The sequence below is a fragment of the Homo sapiens genome, chromosome X, assembly GCF_000001405.40.
Source record: "Homo sapiens chromosome X, GRCh38.p14 Primary Assembly".
Classification (NCBI taxonomy): domain Eukaryota; kingdom Metazoa; phylum Chordata; class Mammalia; order Primates; family Hominidae; genus Homo; species Homo sapiens.
The window spans coordinates 124617744-124637633 of record NC_000023.11 but is presented as its reverse complement, the minus strand read 5'-3'; the positions used below and the strand labels follow the sequence as shown (position 1 = coordinate 124637633).

Sequence of the window (19890 nt, the reverse complement as noted above, 5' to 3'; positions counted from 1 at the left end):
CTTGGACTTGACCCTGAGGACAATAGGAAAGCCATTTAAGGTGTTTAAAGAGGGTAGTGTCATGACCATGCTTGCATTTTAGCAAAGTCGTTCGGTAAATGACTTGGAGATTACCATTACCATTACCATTCGGTAAATGGTTTGTAGAATATAGTCAAAAAAATGACGCAAACTTGATATAAGGGAATTTAAGTGTAGATGGAAAGGAAAGGACAGACATGAGAGGGGTTAGAAAATAGCACTTGGGGCCAGGCGCGGTGGCTCACACCTGTAATCCCAGCACTTTGAGAGGCCAAGGCAGGTGCATCACGAGGTCAAGAAATCGAGACCAGCCTGGCCAACATGGTGAAACCCCATCTCTACTAAAAATACAAAAATTAGCCAGGCATGGTGGCGTGCGCCCATAGTCCCATCTACTCGGGAGGCTGAAGCAGGAGAATCACTTGAACCCGGGAGGCGGAGGTTGCAGTGAGCTGAGATCGTGCCACTGCGCTCCAGCCTGGGCAACAAGAGCGAAACTCCGTCACAAAAAAAAAAAAAGAAAGAAAGAAAAGAAAAGAAAAAAGAAAATAGCACTTGGTGACTATGTGGGTATAAGGGGAGACAGGAATTTCACTGACTCCATGATTTCTATATTGGGAGACTATATGAATGGTAACACTACTAACGGAGATGTGAAATATTCATCTATTAAACAAATTTTCATTGAATATCTTCTTTGTGCCATCTGCTACACTTTTGGGATATATCAGTGAAGAAAACAAAGATTCCTGCACTAATGGAGCTTGCAGTCTGTCAGGGAGAGACAGATGGTAAAAAATGAACAAGAAATATATGAGTTTTTGAAACATGAAGAAACTGAGAACCAGAAAGGTTAAATAATTGGTCCAAGGTCATAGACCCGGCTAATTGCAAACCTGCCAGAAGAAACCAGGTCTGCTGATTTTATGTAATGTCTAGCATTCTTTTCAGCCCTCAGGCCCTACTCCTGCCAAAGGAAGAAGGAAAAGTTAGACAAGGAGACAGAACTCAGGTGAATAGATTAGTTTGCTGAAAAGGAGATAAAGGACATCAAATACCAAGTACATAAATGACACATTTTTGTACAGAGGTCTGGACCAAAGCCACATTCATCCATTCTGGATCACAAAGAAAAAAGATCACTAGAATCATCTCTTGTTCACAGAAGCAAAAGGGTGGATAGGTATGACCCAAAACTCAGCAGCCTCTCAGGCAAAAGGCTTCCTAATAAAACTAGCAGATTGAAAAATAAGGGAAGGAAATGCCTTCCAAATCTCCAGTGTCATGGTAGGAATAGTCCTTCTGTGATTTTTAAGCTCCATAAAGGTTGTTCCCACAGAGCATATTTAACCATCGAGATGATCTCACTGTGCAGACTTTTAATTGAGTGTGCTCAGTACAGGAAGCAATTTAACATCTGATTCTTATAATGGATCATGTCATTTCCAAGGTGGATATGCTCTTTGCCATTGATCATTTTCTTCCACTAAGCACATGAAGCTTAGCTGTTAGCATGTTAACTGTGCTGCTCTGATACCAGGGGGACTATAGTGAATGGTTTACTGATTATTTTCAGTCTGTATTTCTAGGTACATTGAGTATTGTTAACAGCTCTAAAATGATATTTGATATAGGCTTCTTTAACCTGATGGCCTCACGACACTTCACAAAGGTTAACTCATTCTTTAAAAATACCTGAAGAGGAATACAATAGCAGCTTGTTATAATATACTTTAGATTTGGATATACTACAGGTCAAATCATGCTCCCTTAAAACATAACTCCTTATCATGAAATCTCAGTAATACATTTAGCCTATTCTAAGGGTATTGGCCCTAGCCTCTGAGATCAGCATTGCACAATGTATCTGCTATATTCCTTTTGTAAAATCTGACTTGTCCTGGTCACATAGTCTTTGAAAGAGAGCATAAAAGCAGTTTAGAACTTTGTACTACTCTCTTCTTGATGAAACCTCCTTTGAACCACTCCCTCTATCATTACTTGCAAATAACTGACAGCAAAATTTATAAGTGGTAGGCATTTAATAGAGAGGCCAACTCTTGTCCTTTCTCTGCTACAATCCTCTCTGATTATGCTGTATCTTAGAAGTGGGTTAATCAGCTGGAGAGATGTGAAGCATTAGGCCTGGAGGTTCTTTTCAACATACTATTTGCTATTCAGCAGAAATCATATAAGGTATTATCATGATGTGCCCCTTCTAAGGAACGTTAGTTCCTTAACATGTCAGAAGGCTTTGTTATAAGGATATTTCTTTTTACACTATCCTATGACATGTGTCCACCTTGTCCATCAGAAAGATATCAGTATATGTGTGGGTGTGCATGTATTCACACACAGTGACCATGAATAACTTAATTTCTTTTAGTCTTAGCCACCTCATTTGTGAAATAGTGGAAGATTAGCAAAATGGCCCATGAGGTCTTTTCCAACACTGAGATCTATGATTCTTAATACTGTATATTGAACTATTGACACTGATTATGAATGGTCCATAGATTTAGTTCATAAACTCTCTTGAGTTTATTAATTGTAAATAGCTTTGTTTTCATTATAAGGACATCCACATTTTGATATATAGACTATGTTATTTGATGATTTCCCTTTATGTATGGAGATACACATACATACACACATAAACATGTGTATGTGTGTATATCTTCATTATAACAATGTCTCATTACGTTTTGAAGTGTTCCCTAATGGATGACGATATGCATCTACTAATAAAACAGATAATTAGAGGAGGAGGTTGTAAGAGGTTTATATAATTGTTGTTGCTGAGGAAACTTTCCTTGATTATACAAGTACCATATGCTTTAAAAACATTATTAGTTCTCCCGTTTATTGAAAGTGCCAGTAATCAAAAGATTTTTCACATGACTCTGCGTGTCTAGCACATGTAATGCATCACTTTACTGCAATTTCTAGGAATTTATTAGGTCTTATGAAATGATTCATGTGTACACAGTGTTTTTTTTTCCTTTACACATAACAGTTACAGCAGGCTCATACATGCCATCTGTTAAAGAATCTTTGTTCAAAATGTAATGCAAACACCATGAGGATAACTACGCAGCTATTCATCATGCCACTGAAGGGAAAAGCCCACTCACATATAAGATATTTAGAATTTAGCATCTTCAGTAGACAAAGAGACAGTTAATGTCACCATATTAGGAACCTACGATTGCAGGTACATTCTTCTCTGCAGCTTTGGACACACACCTGGGTTTCTTAGAAATAGTAACTGAGTTCTCAGAAAAAAAAAGTTTCTATTAGTTAGCAATAATGTTAATATTATCATAATGCTACAAATTCCCTGGACTTAAAGTTCATTTCTGCAGATCATATGGGGCAATAAAAAAGTTGAAATATAGGTAGTCACAGAAATATGATAGGAGGATTTATAGTGCTTTTTAGTGGATAAAAGACAAAAAGCTTATGCCTAATTCATATGCAGGCTTCATTATTTTCATCTTGATATTCAAAGTATGACAACCTGTGCTCACATTTATTTTTAAATAATTCTTTTTCTACTCAGTAAAAAAATAAAAGATAAACATTAAGGTGACTCTGATTTGATTGGTTAAATAAAACAAGCATCTGCATAAAACATGGTAGCTATTTCATTAACATTACAGTGAGATTAAAACATTAACTCTAGATTATTGAAGTAAATGAAATTCATTGGTGGCACTAGAAATACAATTCAAAAGCATCCTTAAGACAATTCCAAGTCAAATTAAGTGTGTAAGACTGAATCTACAGGAATATCTTTGGGAGGTAGATATGAAATGGAAAAAAAATCACACTATTATAGTGGTATCATAGCCATACATCCGACTCAGAGATGATTTGTCACCCCAGGCCTTTTTTGGCCCAAATGAAAGTAGAAATTGAACCACAAAATAGTCTCAGATCCAAAAATTCTTTATCTTTATACAAAAGTTCATTTAATGGCCATAAGATTTTATAATTATATATATATATAGTAATTTAAGATTGTAAGGCAATTTAAAGCACATCAAATATCAAATGTTTTCAAAGACATCTTTTACATTTTTGTTCTGAGACAATAAAACCACACGTTATACCATTATTAGCAGGCAACAATGCAATATATAGTGAAACTTTTGACAATTTGACAAGTTTGAAGTAAAAGGTAAGTTTGCGGCTGCCTCTCTATAAGTCTGAGCTAACTCTACTAACTGTTCCAAACCATTAAAGCTTTAAAACTATTTTTCAAACCAGAGACATATATTTAAATAAGATGGCAATTGTGAAGCAAGAAAATGTAAGTAAACCTGAGTGCATGTTTATTTACATAAAGTACAGTACAGTAAGAATCCATTTGGACAGACCAATGGAAATGTCAAAAGAAAACAGGTAAATCTTGTGTTTCATTATTCCCCTTCCTTCAACTCTTATTCTGAATTCTAGATTCACTGGCTATTTGTCATTTTTCTCAATTCATTTTTAGCTATATGAAGTGACAATAGATCCCAAAAGGAAGTATTTACAAGGTGTGTCTGTCCCTGTATATGAGAGATCCTATGGAGAAAGTGTCTACCACTACAGCTTGCCCTGCTGCCATGGAAATTCTCTGACAGGGGAGGATAAAGTAGAAAGGCTCTGTGGTGGAGATGGCTGAGAGAGGTTGAAGGAAGCCATAATTCAATTGTGTAAAAATTAGTGGCCATGGGGAAGGATCAGAATAAATTATCCCAATCCTGTGTTCCAAAATCAGGTGATTGGAGATATAGAAGAGTACCCCATATGCTTACCCCAAATAAGCTGAATGATACTATTCCTGTAATAAAAATATCCTGCATTTATCTGATTGTTTTATTTTTTTTCTCCAAATACATACCAGTGTTTTTTTTTATTTCATCATTATGGCCATGATCCAGGGTCATTATTAGAGTTTGGATTGCATATTGAGCTTTGATGATACAAAATACCTACAGGACTGTTCCAGAGATTTGATTTACATATATATTTCCCTGAATCATTAGAGAGAAGGAGAAGAGGGATGGGAAGGACATAAATTAGTTCTTCAGTAAAGAGTGAGGACAATAAATTTTCACTTAGAAACTTGTTAAGGTCAGGCTCATAGAGACTCTGAATGGGTAGTTGAGTCTGCTATAAAGAACTTGACTTGTACCCCAGCTACCAAATTTCCAGTATCCTAGCAAAAATGTTTCTATTAGTCTCATAACACCCACACGGTATGAGTAGGGTAAGTAATAGTTTCTTCATATTAGAGTTGAATGAACTCCTTTACTTTGAGAGGCAGGGCAAGTTACTTTATTGTGTATGCTTCAGAGTTGAGGCCACTGGTAGAATTCACACCCCAATATCCTTTCTTAAAGATCAGTATGGGCCGGGCGTGGTGGCTCATGCCTGTAACCCTAGCACTTTGGGAGGCCAAGGCGGGCAGATCATGAGGTCAGGAGTTTGAGACCAGCCTGACCAACATGGTGAAACCCTGTCTCTACTGAAAATACAAAAATTAGCTGAGTGTGGCGGCATGCTCCTATAATCCCAGCTACTCGGGAAGCTGAGGCAGGAGAATTGCTTGAACCCGGGAGGCAGAGGTTGCAGTGAGCCGAGATTGCGCCACTGTACTCCAGCCTGGGTGACAGAGCAAGACTGTCAAAAAAAAAAAAAAAACTGTATGGATTTTTTTTTTTTTTTTTTTTTGAGACAGAGTCTCATACTGTCGCCCAGGCTGGAGTGCAATGGCTTGATCTCAGCTCACTGCAACCTTCGCCCGTGATTCTCCTGCCTCAGCCTCCCAAGTAGCTGGGATTACAGGCACATGCCACCACACCTGGCTAATTTTTTTGTATTTTTAGTAGAGATGGGGTTTCACTATGTTGGCCAGACTGGTCTCGAACTCCTGACCTTGTGATCCGGCTGCCTCAGCCTCCCAAAGTGCTGGGATTACAGGCACGAGCCACTGCATCCAGCCAGATTCATTATTTTTATCCTACTTCGGACTTGCTGAGCTTCTTGAATATAAGAACCCATGTCTCACATAAATTATAGAAAAATTTCAGTCCTTATTTCTTTGAATCTTGATTTTCCCCCTTTTGGTATCCTTTTGGAAGTTCCCTTAGACTGTCCATTCCATTCTAGCCTCCATGTCCTTTACTCCTTTTTCTTACTTACTATCTTTGTTTCCCTTTGTTATCTTATAAGCAATTTCTCCGTATTTATCTTCTAGCTCACTAAATCTCTCTTTAGCTATGCTTATTGTAATGTTTAACCCTTTTATTAATTTTTCATTTCAATGATTACTTTTTGTTTCTAAAATATTTACTTAGTTTTTTAAAAAAAATATGCCTCATTATTTTGGGTAATTTTTTGCATCTTAATTGTGTTTTTGGTTACATGAAACATGGTTATTTTATATACAGTATCTGATAAATACAGCATATGAAGTCTTTGTGGATGTGGGTCTATGGTTTGTTACTTCTTTGAACTCTTGGATATTAATTGCATTCTTGTTTTTGGCTTTCTTAAATTGTGAGCTCAAACAGGTTGGAAATCTCTCTAAGTCCTGTATGAAGAAAGTATTCTTCTGGTGAGGATTTACATTTGTTTCTGTCAGAAACCTGCCTACGCTACAAATCAGCGTAAACTTTAAAATATCATGTTGCAATTCTTTAGGCCAAATAAAGAGTACAAATACGAACCCTAAACCCACATGAAACCTGGCTAGTGGCCATGAGGTCTCAGAGGAGGCTTGATATTTAACATCCTCATAGACCCAAGACTAAGACAGATCATTTTCTTCTACTATGTCTCTGCAACACGCATTTTCTTCCAGATTGGATATATATCCCAATATATATCCCTAATCTTGCACAGGCCCAAGGTAGCTAAAAACTTTTGCTCACTCTGGACCCTCATGAAATCTCTGGGTCACTCAAATCAGCAGATGACCCATGTCCTGGCACAGCTCTGACTTTCCATATAATCTTGGGCACGTGAACCACTATGGGTCTCAATTTACACATCTGCAAACTATTTGTAACCTAAATTCACATTTCAATTCATTTTTAGTGATTAGCATTTTTCCTCTAAGTGGATAAAACAACTTAAGTTCCAGTAAAATTAAGAATGTAGTCTACTAAGGTATGGGTAACAATATTAGATCCAGTTCCACAAAACTAGAAGAGCTTATTCCATGCTAGCAAAGAATGTTCTAAGAAATATTGCTCAAAAGACATTTCAGGAACCATAGCAGTTAAAGTCAGTGAGGTTAATAGTGGAGTCAAGAATAAGTAGTTTCAACAATCAAAACAAGCTTCCCACACTTCTCTGCTAGGTTCATTCAGTTTTTTTCTTTTTTACCAAGAAAGATATTGAAGGTTCATTCATTTTTTAAATTGAATTCTGCATATCAAGCAATGAAAGTTAAGGCACTCTAAATATGATTGCCTACTTTCTTTTCCAACAGTCTTCTTTTTGTTCATTTCTTTTTTTGACAGACTTGTCATAATCATAGAATATTGACAATAGATGAGATTTTAGATGCCACCTAGTTCTGCCCTTTCCTTTTATAGATGAGGAAACTGAGTTCCAGAAAGGTCAAATGACTTATGGACAGTCATATAGCTCATTAGGCACGTAGTTAGTATGAAAAACAGGTACTGTGATTTCTGGTTTAGATCTTTTATCCAATATACCATTCAGAGAGCCTTCTATAAATTTAACAGATTCTACCCATTGTCAACAGTTCCACTGAATCTCTAGAAAGTTGGCAATGAGCATATATGGGGAAGGATCCTGGGACCTTTTTCTTGACTATCAGAATGTTATAAAAGTTGTCAGAGATTCAGCATGGAAAAATTCAGACAGAAATGAACTCAAATCCCAGGCCTGTTTCCAAGTTATTGTATTACCTTGAGTAAGTTGCTTGGATTCTCTGAGCCTCTCCTGTAAAATAGGGAAATAATTAATATTTTGTAATATAGTTGTAGGGGTTAAATGAGATAACATATGTGCAACACATAGCATGATGCTTTTCCCATAGTGGGCACTAAATTATAATGATAGATTGTAGCTATTGTTGGCATTGTATGTCAATTCTCAATGTAAAGACACATTTCAAAGACAAATCTTTTGTAAGTAGAAGATAAATTAGTAGATGATAAATCTCAAGGAAATTCATCTTTAAACACTGTAAAGCTGAATTAATTTGAAGAAGTATGAAAATTCTTTCTACTCCAAAGTCTTTATGTTCTTTTGTCACTATCCAAATGGTATTGTTTCCTGTGTTTGCAGAATACAGATATATGTTTTACTGGAAAGTCAGTTAACAAGTAGCTATTCTGCCTCTTCACTACCTTTACTTTGAGCCATGCTGTTTATTATAAAATCACATTCAAGGAAAATTTACATTCCTGATGTGTCAACTAAGATTATAGTTCAGTGATTGGAAGTACCTCCCCAAGGGGAAAAAAAGAGATAAACAAGATAGAAGTATTATTTTATTTTAGGCAAAAGAAATCTAGAGGCAGGCAGTCCAGGGCTTGTATGGTGACTTCAGAAAGAAAGCTTCTTCCAGCTCACCACTGTACTATTTCTAGGATGGAGCCCTTACCCTTATAGTACACGGTGGGAGCCAGTGCTCTAGCTATTACATCCTCACTATAGGCGAAATGAAGAAATGACGAGGCAAAGGGACTTCTCTACTTTCTTTTAAGAAGACCTCACTGAAGCTACTGCCAGAAACATTCACTTACATTTTATTGATCGATAACTTAGTCATGTGAAAACACCTAGCTGTAAAGGAAGTGAGAAATGTAATCTTTATTTAAGGAAGTCATGTGCATAGCTAAGTAATGTCTAATTGTACTGTAGCTTTCTAACTCCCTCTTAGCCAACACAAGAGGGAAAAATGATCAATTATGTAATTCACAGTGTCCTCAAGATAGACAAACTCATAGCTCAATTAAAATAAAACTTTTCTTTTCATTGAAACCAATGAGACACTTCTCCTTTAGCTCCTCTTCAAGACTTGTATGGAAGATTAATTAAAATATCTCCTTATTAATTTTTATATTGATTACATTATGAAATGATATTTTGGATATATTGGGCTAAATAAAATATATTATTTAAATTAATTTTAATAATTTTTACTAAATAATTTTGTTTTACTTTTTAATGTGGCTACTAGAAAACTTTAAATAATATATGTGGCTTGCACTTAAGGCTCACATTATATTTCTCTTGGGCAGCAGTGCTTTAGCATATGGCAGTATCAAGTTTAGCCTGGAAAATGTAACTACATATATATTCCAAATTAAACTGATTCTATTCCAACGCCAAGGTAACTAAACAAGTTAACTTGCAGTATGAAATTATTGACAAAGTGGATTAAAGATGGAGAAGGTCTACCAAAAATGATTATTTGAGTCTTAATGTAACTGACTAACAATCCTTTTTGGCAATAATAAGACAGCAAGGGTAACCATTTTAAATCTACTTCTAGTTTATGACAATAAAATCGTATCCAGGAAATATAAAGGAATAAATATATTTATATTTCCTAAGACAAGAGGAACATCAAGTTGTTAATACTCAGAGCTCTACACAAGATGATAAAGAATACAAATATGAAATGACAGTGGAATAATTAAATACCTAACGATAACCTGTTTCTTATATAGAATATAGGCTGGGGAAACTCAGGCTTTCGGTTTCTCAAGAAGGAAGCCAGCATATGCTTTAGATAAAATGTCTAATAAAGTAATAGGTTTGTAACTTGGAGAGAGCAGAATTTTAATGTCATAAAATGAGTTAGACACACTCTGGGTCCAGCCAGCCAGAAGACCTATGGAGATAATAACTATAAACAAACTGGTAAGGATTAGAGTTTATCATTTAGAATAGTCTTTGAATAGTTCTCCCACCATGAAGTCTTCCTCTGATGCTTTATTTAGCTTGTGTGTTTAAAAAATCATGTGTGCTGTATAAGGGACATGGACAGAGGTGGCTCGGGATCACCAAGCTGTCAGTTGGCATCTGAGCTGCCATGACCTCATTCTCCAAATCCATACCTTGTGTAACTGCCACGGAGCCTGGCCTTTTTAGGGGATGCAACGGCCAAATTCACATTTTCCCACGAGGTCATATTAAATCTGAGGTTTTACTTAGCAATAAGCTTTTCATATATAGACTTGACTCTGATAAAATCCAAATGGCCTTTTCTAAATTTATTTTTGCTAGTCACCACATTAACTTGGCCAGAATTTTTTTGTTTGTTTTTCTCTGCCCATCATTCTTATCAAACCACATACTATGACAGTAGGACAGAGTGTATATATCCATTTTAATTAGCAGCAATTCATCCATAATGGGAGCTGCCCCTCACTTAAGGCACATGAGGGCAGGGTTGAAATGGTCCTTGGGAGTCAATGGAATGCCCATAGTGTGTGAAAGCCTCTCAATCCATCACCACCTCTCAGCCTCCTTACATAGTAAATCAAAATGTAAATGCAAACATAGCTCTGGAACAGCTATACCAAGGATCAAAATAGTGAAGAAATGATTAATGTCTACCTTTTTCAGAATATCCATCTTAACGATGGGTAGTTAGAGAGGAGAATCTAATCCTAGTCAATAGTCCTATGCAGCAAGTAAAATCTATAATGTTTGCCACCAGGCTAGATACAGACAAACTTTCTTACAGATTTATCCCACATCCTACTATTCAGTATCAGCAGGATTGGTGTATAAATACATTTTTATTTGTGTGAGGAATTTTCCTTTTGGGTTATTGCATCTCCCTCTAAAACACTGCTTCATGGGAAAGCAACTCACACAGTCCCTTAAGACTTCTGGTAGAAAGCAATAGGATCCACCACCATTCTGAAATTCAGCTCCCAAGGAATGATTAACTCTACCATAAGGAGCAGGTAATAGATAAAAGTTTAAAGATGATTTTAAAAGGACCATATATCTAAGCAAACTATGTGCACCTTGGCAGGAGATATACAAGAACAAAGGCAAATCATTTCTAGATTGCTGGGAAACTGAATCAGGACCAAAAGGAAGATCATCCAGTTGTATGAGTCAGGCATTCAGCAGCAGTCCACCTGACATCTGTCAAGTTTTATGGTGGCTGTTGTTTCTTAGATAAGTGGAGAGGGAAAGAGACAAAACTCATACACGGGAAGATACCTGTGCTAAAAACAAGATCGTATGAGAACATTAAAACCAATCAGAAAGTGCAATACAATAAGAGTGCTTGCCTGTGGAATTCCAACCTGAGGAGTTTCAAAAAAAATCTTAGTTATCAAAGAACCTTTTGGTGGCTCTAAAAATTCTATTTTAATAAATACATACATTCAATGGAATTATGTGGTAGGTTGTCTGCTGAAGCTTCTACCTCCGTTGGAGTAGCTCGCCCTAATCTGGCAAAGGAAATCCTCTGGCTATAGAGTTTGTAGACCCCTACTCCTAGGGGTGTATTAGACATGCCTTTTCTCACTCAGATCACCGACACTCTGGTAGGCTTTTTAAATTTTATTTTTTAATTGACAAGTAAAAAATTGTATATATTTATGGTATACAACATGATATTTTGACATATATATACATTGTGGAATGGTTAAATCAAGCTGTTGAACATAGGTATTCCCTCACTGATATGGGTTGGATCTGCGTCCCCACCAAATCTCATGTAGAATTGCAGTCCCCAGTGTTTGAAGTGGGGCCTGGTTGATGGAGCTTCTCTAATCATGGGGTTGGATTTCTCATGAATGGTTTAGCATGATCCCCTTGATGCTGCTCTTGTGATAGTGAGTTCTCATGAGATCTGCTTGTTTAAAAGTGTGCAGCCTTTCTCCCCTCCCTCTCTCTTGCTCCTGCTTCCACCATGTGAGACACCTTCCTCCCCCTTTGCCTTCTGCCATGATTGTAAGTTTCCCGAGGCCTCCCCAGAAGCAGAAGCCACTATTCTTCCTGTACAGCTTGCAGAACCGTGAGCTAATTCAACCTCTTTTGTTTATGAATTACCCAATCTCAAGTATAGCAGTGTGAGAATGGACTAATACAATCACACACTTATTTTGTTTTTTCATGCGAACACTTAAAATTTACTCTTAGCAATTTTCAATTATATAATATATTGTTATTAAGTGTCGTCACCATGATGCATAGTAGACCTCTTAAACTTATTCTTTCTAATCCCTTCTTAATGATTATAGTGATGATTATGGTAATTATAATAATAATACTGTTGCATTTATTGAGCTCTTACTATATATGTGCTTTACAAATATTATCCATTTAATCTTTGGGACAAATCAGTCTTTCCAAAGTATCTTCTATATAATCCTTTTATTGCAAGATATTATAGAAAAATAAAAATGCATTTTTATAGTATAATGAAAGGGAAAAACACTGCATATGTTAGCTCCCACTTGGAAATTCACAAAGCACATTCCCGTATTAGAGATACTAAAAAAAGCCCTGTATAAGGAAATCTGTTTACCAGAGTTTCCCATGGATCTTTGATCAGGAAACCCAGTTATCACCTCACATTTTTAAATATAGTGTGCAGATAGCAGTGTTCTTTGGAGTATACTTTAGGAAAAGGTGCTGTAAAATGCTACCTTCATTTTGTAGATGAGGAAATGAAAACTTAGAGAAATTCAGCAGATTTCAATCAAATAGCCAGTAGGAGGCAAAGCTTTTGAAGCCAAGTTTATTTAATGCTAAAACCCATACTCATCATTAACAATAATGGCTCAGATAATAGCTATCATGTATTAACTATCTAATATGTTCTAGACATTTTATGTATATTTTCTCATCCTTATAACTCCTGCAGTGAGAGTACCATTATCCCCATTTTATAAATGAAGAAACTGAGGCTCCATTAGATTTATTGACCTACCCAGATCTAACCAAAGAAGCTTATACAGGACTGTCAGCAGGGATGTAGACTTTATTGGTTCTGCTTCTGTATCATTAACCAAATTACCTAACCTCTTGAAGCTTCATTGTCCATATCTGTAAAATGGGTGTAATATGTGTAAAACCTCTGGCACATAATAGTTATTGAGCAAATAGTGTCTATTACACAGACAGTAGTGAGTTTTTAACCAAGCCAGTATACTCTAAAATAAGTACATAGTGAATCTTAACATCGGAAGTATGATTCATAAATTGGATATATTGCCTCTAAAGTAGATTTGAACTTGACATCAACCAAGTTTTTAGGGATTGTTAGAGAAGACAATTGAGGGGCAGAGAGTAGCAGGCAGGCAAAGAAACCCCATTCCCAGTGAGGGAAGATATAAATACTAGGAAGGTCATACCTTTCAGCATGGCGTAATTCAAAGAATACAGTGTTAGAGTGAGACAAACTCAAAATTGATACCAGCCTCTCTCCTAATTAGCTACATGACCTTAAGCAAGTCATTTAACTTCTCTGAGCCACAGCACCTCCTCTGAAAACTGGTACTAACACTATCTTGCAAGGTTGTAGTGAAGATTAAATGAGATAATGTATGCAAAGATTCTAGCCCTGAGCCTGGCACTTATTACATGGTAGCTTTGGCCCCCAGGGCTTTGCCTCTACCTTCTAGAGCAGCATGTTTTAACCAACAAAAGGAAAATGTTATATCAATGAATGAGCATCAGGCTCATTCCAGAAATGTGCCTAGTGCTCTCTGCAACTTCAAGGGTGGTCTGGGGCGAAAACAGATGATAATTATAGTCTTTTAAATATTAATCCCAAAGTATCCTCAATCGCTTTGACAGTGGCATGTGTCACTGTGAATGAAGAATTCTGAGAGAATAAAGTAATCAAAAATGTTTTTAAAGGGCAATGAGGAAGGAAGGTTTCCCAACTTTGGCAGCTGATTTACATCTATTAAACTGATATTACCAGATGCAGATTTTGAATATAGCTATTTTTTCCCTGCAAATTTCAAGCAAGGTATAAATTGTGTGTGTGTGTGTTTAATGCAAATATCTTATAGATGTATTATAGATACAGTTGGGAGGTGCTTCATTTCCCTCATTTTATTCTGAGGTTAGTAAAGTAATTCTTAGAGCACACTCTAATGACTGCCTAAATAAAAGTACAAATAACATTTGATCTCCAAGCATGTATTTGAAACAGAAAGATTCACACTTGCATATTCATACAGTCAAACACACTATCACAAAGTCAAGCGAATACACGAACACACATACACCCAAACACACTCATGCACACACTCATGTACATGCACCCAAACAACCCTTATACACTCTCACATTCACATATACTCAGACTCTTGCACACTCACACATATATGCACACTCACACAATCACACATATACACACACTGTTGCACGTTCATGCACACATTCAAGCCCATGCTTACCCACTCATATACACCCATGCATATTTACACATAAATTGACACACTAACAGATTGTTGCTCTTACACACATACACACAATGGGTTTGTTTCCATTTATAAAGAATATTGTCCTTAGTTTGAATAAAAAGAAAATTATTTTATAATAATGTCCTCATCCTAAGCTGATGTTATATGCACACTGAACACTTAAAATTTTATTTACTTAGGTTACATTCTACATCAGAGAGGGCAGAAAATTTTAAAGGCCCTAAATTGTGTTCATGCCCTTTAAAAGTTAACTCTCTCTCATTCTGTCTTGAAATACAGAACATCTTTAAATGTGAAGTGCTTTGGGAAAAAATGTAAAATTTTGTAATAGTTGTAAATTGGTATGTGCACTGTAGAGTAATTTAAAATCATTAGAATGATGCATTTTTTAAAGTAAGTGCTTTGCTAGAAAATGAGTGAAGCAATATCACAGTGTATTAATGGAGCTCAAGACATCTCAAATTGATTTTGAAATTAAACATCCGAAACTGTAACTTGAAAAAAAAATAATTAGGTAAACCATTATATAGCAATCAAAAAGAAAAAACCCTCTTGAAATTTAGGAAATTGCAAATTAAGAGTGTCAGTCATCCTGATATGGCAAGGGTAAGGATTGTCAATGAAAAGAAAACATATGCAACTTAAAATATTCTTGAAAACTGAATCGCGCACACAGTTTGCTACTCTGTTTTGATTTCTAGCTTGGGTATTTCTTTCACTTAAAAGAAAGACACATCATTGTGAGAGCATCATTCAACAAAAGTCTTGCATGTCTTGTCAAGACTTGACCTTGTGAGCGTTTTGCAAATGAAGCTGGCGGTTGACACTAGACTGGAGGAAATGGTCAGGCTATGCGTCTCTCCCTCTTTTCCCACCCCTAATATTAGATTGAACTGTATGAAATTGCTGATATTCGACCTATGAATGTGATATTTTCACAAAGTTCAATCTAATATTTCTAGTTTAACTGGATTTGGGAGGAAAGGGAGTTGTAATTATCTGGAAAGTGGCCTTCTTGTTCTGATGCTAGCAGTGTAATGAAAAGTAACCTAAAAATAATTTCTGAGACATGTAGCTAGTTACTTAATTGATAATAACTTATTTGTTTAAAAAATGGAAATAGTGCCAATCTGCCATACATAACCCAAAACTTAGTAGGACAAAATTAAATAAGAGGTATGTTTTAAGTAGTCCAAATTACAACACAAATAAACTCAAGCGCATCCTCACCTGTCTGGATCTTTTGTTTATTCAGACTATGCTCAGTTGTAAGCTAGCTTGCACAAAGCATTTCTCCATTTTTAGTATCAGGGCCAAATACTTTAAAATTGGAAATATCTCCAGTTTTTGCTAAATGCTAAAAACATTCACCACCAGCTTTCCCTACATGAGAGGGGATTTATGAAATCTTTTTCAACATTACAAGTTGAGCATCCATAATCTGAAATCAGAACTGCTCCAAAATCTCAAACTTTTTGCGCACTAACATAACACCATAAGTGAAAAATTCCACACCTGACTTCATGTGATGGGTCACAGTCAAAATGCAGTTAAAACTGTGTTTCATGCAGAAAATTATTTAAAATATTATATAAAAGTACTTTCAGACTATGTGTATAAGGTGTGTATGAAACATAAATGAATTTCATATTTAGACTTGGGTCCCAGTTTTGTTTTGTTTTGTTTTCATTTTGAGACAGAGTCTTGCTGTGTCACCCAGGCTGGAATGCAGTGGCGTGATCTCAGCTCACTGCAACCTCCGCCTCCTAGGTTCAAGCGATTCTTGTGCCTCGGCCTCCCGAGTAACTGGGACTAGAGGTGCCCACCACCATGCCCGGCTAATTTTTTGTATTTTTAGTAGAGACAGGGTTTCACCATGTTGGCCAGGCTGGTCTCAAACTCCTGACCTCATGTGATCCGCCCGCCTCCTGCACAAGTGCTTGGATTACAGGCATGAGCCACCGCACCCTGCATTGGGTCCCATTTTCAAGATATCTCATTATGTTTATGCAAATATTTCAAAATCTGAAAACGTACAAAATCCAAAACACTTCTAGTCTCAAGCATTTCGAATAAGGGATACTCAACTTGTGTCTAGATTTCTCTATTACATGGATTGAACCCAGTCTCTGACGGTGAAGGTGCCTATAATTCTGTTTTATTCTTTTCCTATCTCTTTGGGCCGCTAAGTAACTCCTTGTTAAATGGAATGACAAGATATAATCCACTCCCTTCTTCTAAGTAACTCCTGTATTCTTCAGTGACACAGTGGTGATATTTTGTACATTGTTTGGTTGTGGCCTTAATCATGTATAATAATTATTTCCATAAGATAAGACGAATCATTTCAGCTCTGGAGAAAACTTGACTCAGGCTCTATGTAAGACAACAAGAATATATTAAGCCCCTACTGTGTGCTGAATCCTATGCGTTACATGAATGAGATATACAAACAGAATACTGTAGTAATCCATCTAGTTTTTCTAGATAGAAGTTTGGCAATTTGGTTATTCACAGCAATTATTCAAAGTAGGAAGGAGTCAGGTACATCTTAAGTGTGCAACAGAATCAGAATGGTTAGGTAAATTAGGGTGCATTTGGAATATTATATAACTATTACAAATATTTGTGAATAATTTTTAATTTACATTAGAAAGTTTTTAAAGGCAGAGGAAGTCTAAAAGTATGCTAAAATGTGTATTTAATATCTCCACAAGGTGCGTAGTGTACAGAATTAACGGAAAGATGCCAAAATATCAAGAGTGTTTTTTGCTAAATTGGGAGATTTTTTTTTCCTTCTTTACTCTTTTTTTGTATTAAGGACTCAGAGGATTTGGAATGTAGAAAGCAACATAATTTAAAATCATGGTCAAAAACATTATTGAGGACAGGTTGAGGCCCCCATTCATTCCGAGAAAAGAGAGTTCAGAAGAGACTTAGTAATAATCTTCAAGTACTTGAAAAGCTTTAAGATAGGGTATGGTGACCAGGTCTTCTCCCATTCTTTAAAGAATAGAAAAGAAGTAAGTAATATACAGAGAAATCAAGTTTGGCTAGAAGGGAGAATTTCATTTGGGAGAGAGAATAATTCAAAAATTAGAATAGCTTATGATGGCATATATGCCATTTCCTTTTTAGAGGATTTGAACAGCAATTTTTCATCTGCCTATAAGGATTTAGGAACAATCCAGGCAGTCTCCTGATTGCAGAAGGGTTGGCTGATTGTACTCTTGAAGTCAGTTCAAGTCCTTTGATTGCATCATTTGTTCCATGCCGACAGAGTAAGTACATGGTGTAACTCTGGCCTCTGAATATTATACCTTTTACTATGAGCCATTCTGAAATCTGTTCAAACTCATATTGATAGTTTTTTAAATAGCAAGGGAAAAAGATGCTCGATTCACTAGTTATCGGGGAAATAAAAATTTAAAAGAGACTTTTTTACACTCTTCCATATTGACACATCAGTGAAGGGTATCTAGAAACAAGTATACTCTTACTCTGATTGTGGTTATATAAATTGGTACAATATTTTATCAGTACCTATCAAAACTTAAAATACATATAGCCTCAACTCAGTCATTCCATTTCTAAGAAGTATTCTAGAGAAATGCTGGTACATATGCACAAAGAGGCATTGTTTACAATAGAAAAAAGGTTTAGGAACAATCTAAATATCCATTTGTAAAGGGCTAAACTATAGGACATATCCAGACTATGATGGTATGTTACATAACAGTCTAAAAGAACAAGTTAATTTTATATGGACTTAACAATATGTCTTGGAGCTATTTCCCAGTTCTAGAAAAATATAAACAATGTTATACCATTCAGGTTAAAATATACCCACAAATTAGTTATGTATCTACATGCATTTATTAATGTAAATGTATTAAAAAGTACAGAAAAGTATTTATTAAAGAGATATTAGGGGTTACCGTCTCACGAAGGAACTACAATTGGCAGCTCAAGGTATATTATTGTTTTATTCATAGCAGAAAGTTTTACAATATGAATTGTATTTTTCAATTCAATTCAATATGCATTAAATCTTTATTATTTTGTTTTTTATTTATTTTTGTAGAGACAGGGTCTCACTCTGTCACCCAGACTAGAGTTCAGTGATGAGATCATAGTCCACTACAACATGATACTCCTGGGCTCAAGTGAACATCCTGCCCCAGCCTCCTGAGTAGCTAGGACTACAAGTGTGCTCCACCATACCCTGCTAGCTTTTTAAAATTTTTTGTAGAGACAGGATCTTGCTATATTGCCCAGGCTGGTCTCAAACTCCTGAGCTGAAGTGATCCTTCTGCCTCAGCCTCCCTAAGTGCTGGGATTACAGGCATGAGCCACTGTGCCCAGTCTTGAATGTACTTTTAATTACTTATAATAGCATGTAATTAAAAACAAACATGAGTAAAACTTAGGAAACAGGTGTGTAATATGGAAATGAAGGCAACTGGTTAAAATAGATGTTTGTGGCTTTTGACAAGGAAAAAGAGTGGCCAGATCTAGAAAGAATGATGGCAACAGGGTTATGGAGGGAGACAGAAAATGTAATGGGAAAAAATAATGCTTACAAAAGCAAACAAAAAAGAAGTTAGCATTAAATAATACAAAAAATGTGCTGAAAATATAATGACAAAATATAATGGGAAAAAATAATGGGACAGAAAATATAACAGGAAAAAATCATGCTTACAAAACCAAGTAAAATAATTTTAGCATTAAATAACAGAAAATGTGCAGAAAAATATAAAACTCTACTGACTAATGAATGAGGACTTGCCCTACCAGGTGTCACAATGTGTTATAAAGCTTAAGTAAATACAACAAGTTGGTATTGATGCCTCAATAAACAGATCATGGAAAAGTAGAAAGTCTAGAAAGCAACACAGGTACATATACATAATAATTTGGAGTATGATAATCTGTAAGGATAGGATGGATAATCCAATATATTCCAGAAAGCTTCATCCCAGTCCAAGCAGCGTGAATGTCTAACCATATCTCTCTGATTAAGTGGGAAAATGAAGGATGGAATGGGAAAAATTACAGAATTCCTTCAACTAGGAGTAATTCCACAGGATAAAGAAGTTTGAATGCTACTGACTTAAGTATACTGACATTTCATAATTCTTAAGGTCTATATTTTTATTTAAAGATTTTACATTTCTGTGATGACATGAAAAGGAAGGAAAGTTCTTAAGGATTATTATGGCTATGAATGGAGTCTGGGTATTCTTTTCCCTTCATTTAACCCTCTCTTTCATTTCACTGACAGCTTCTTGCCTCTTCTGGTGAAGTTTTAAAGATGGTCTCTTTGTCCCGGAATCTCAGTATTTCTTATAGACTCTAAAAGAACTCAGGGGAAAAACTAACTGGTGAACTAGTTTCCTTTCTGGGAAAAAAACAAAAA

General features: G+C 35.9%; 1 protein-coding gene across 13 annotated transcripts in view; it reads left to right on the top strand.

The window, feature by feature from the left end:
* TENM1 (teneurin transmembrane protein 1) overlaps positions 1 to 19890 on the top strand; it is an 828410-nt gene that overhangs the window by 566679 nt on the left and 241841 nt on the right. The window lies entirely within an intron of this gene.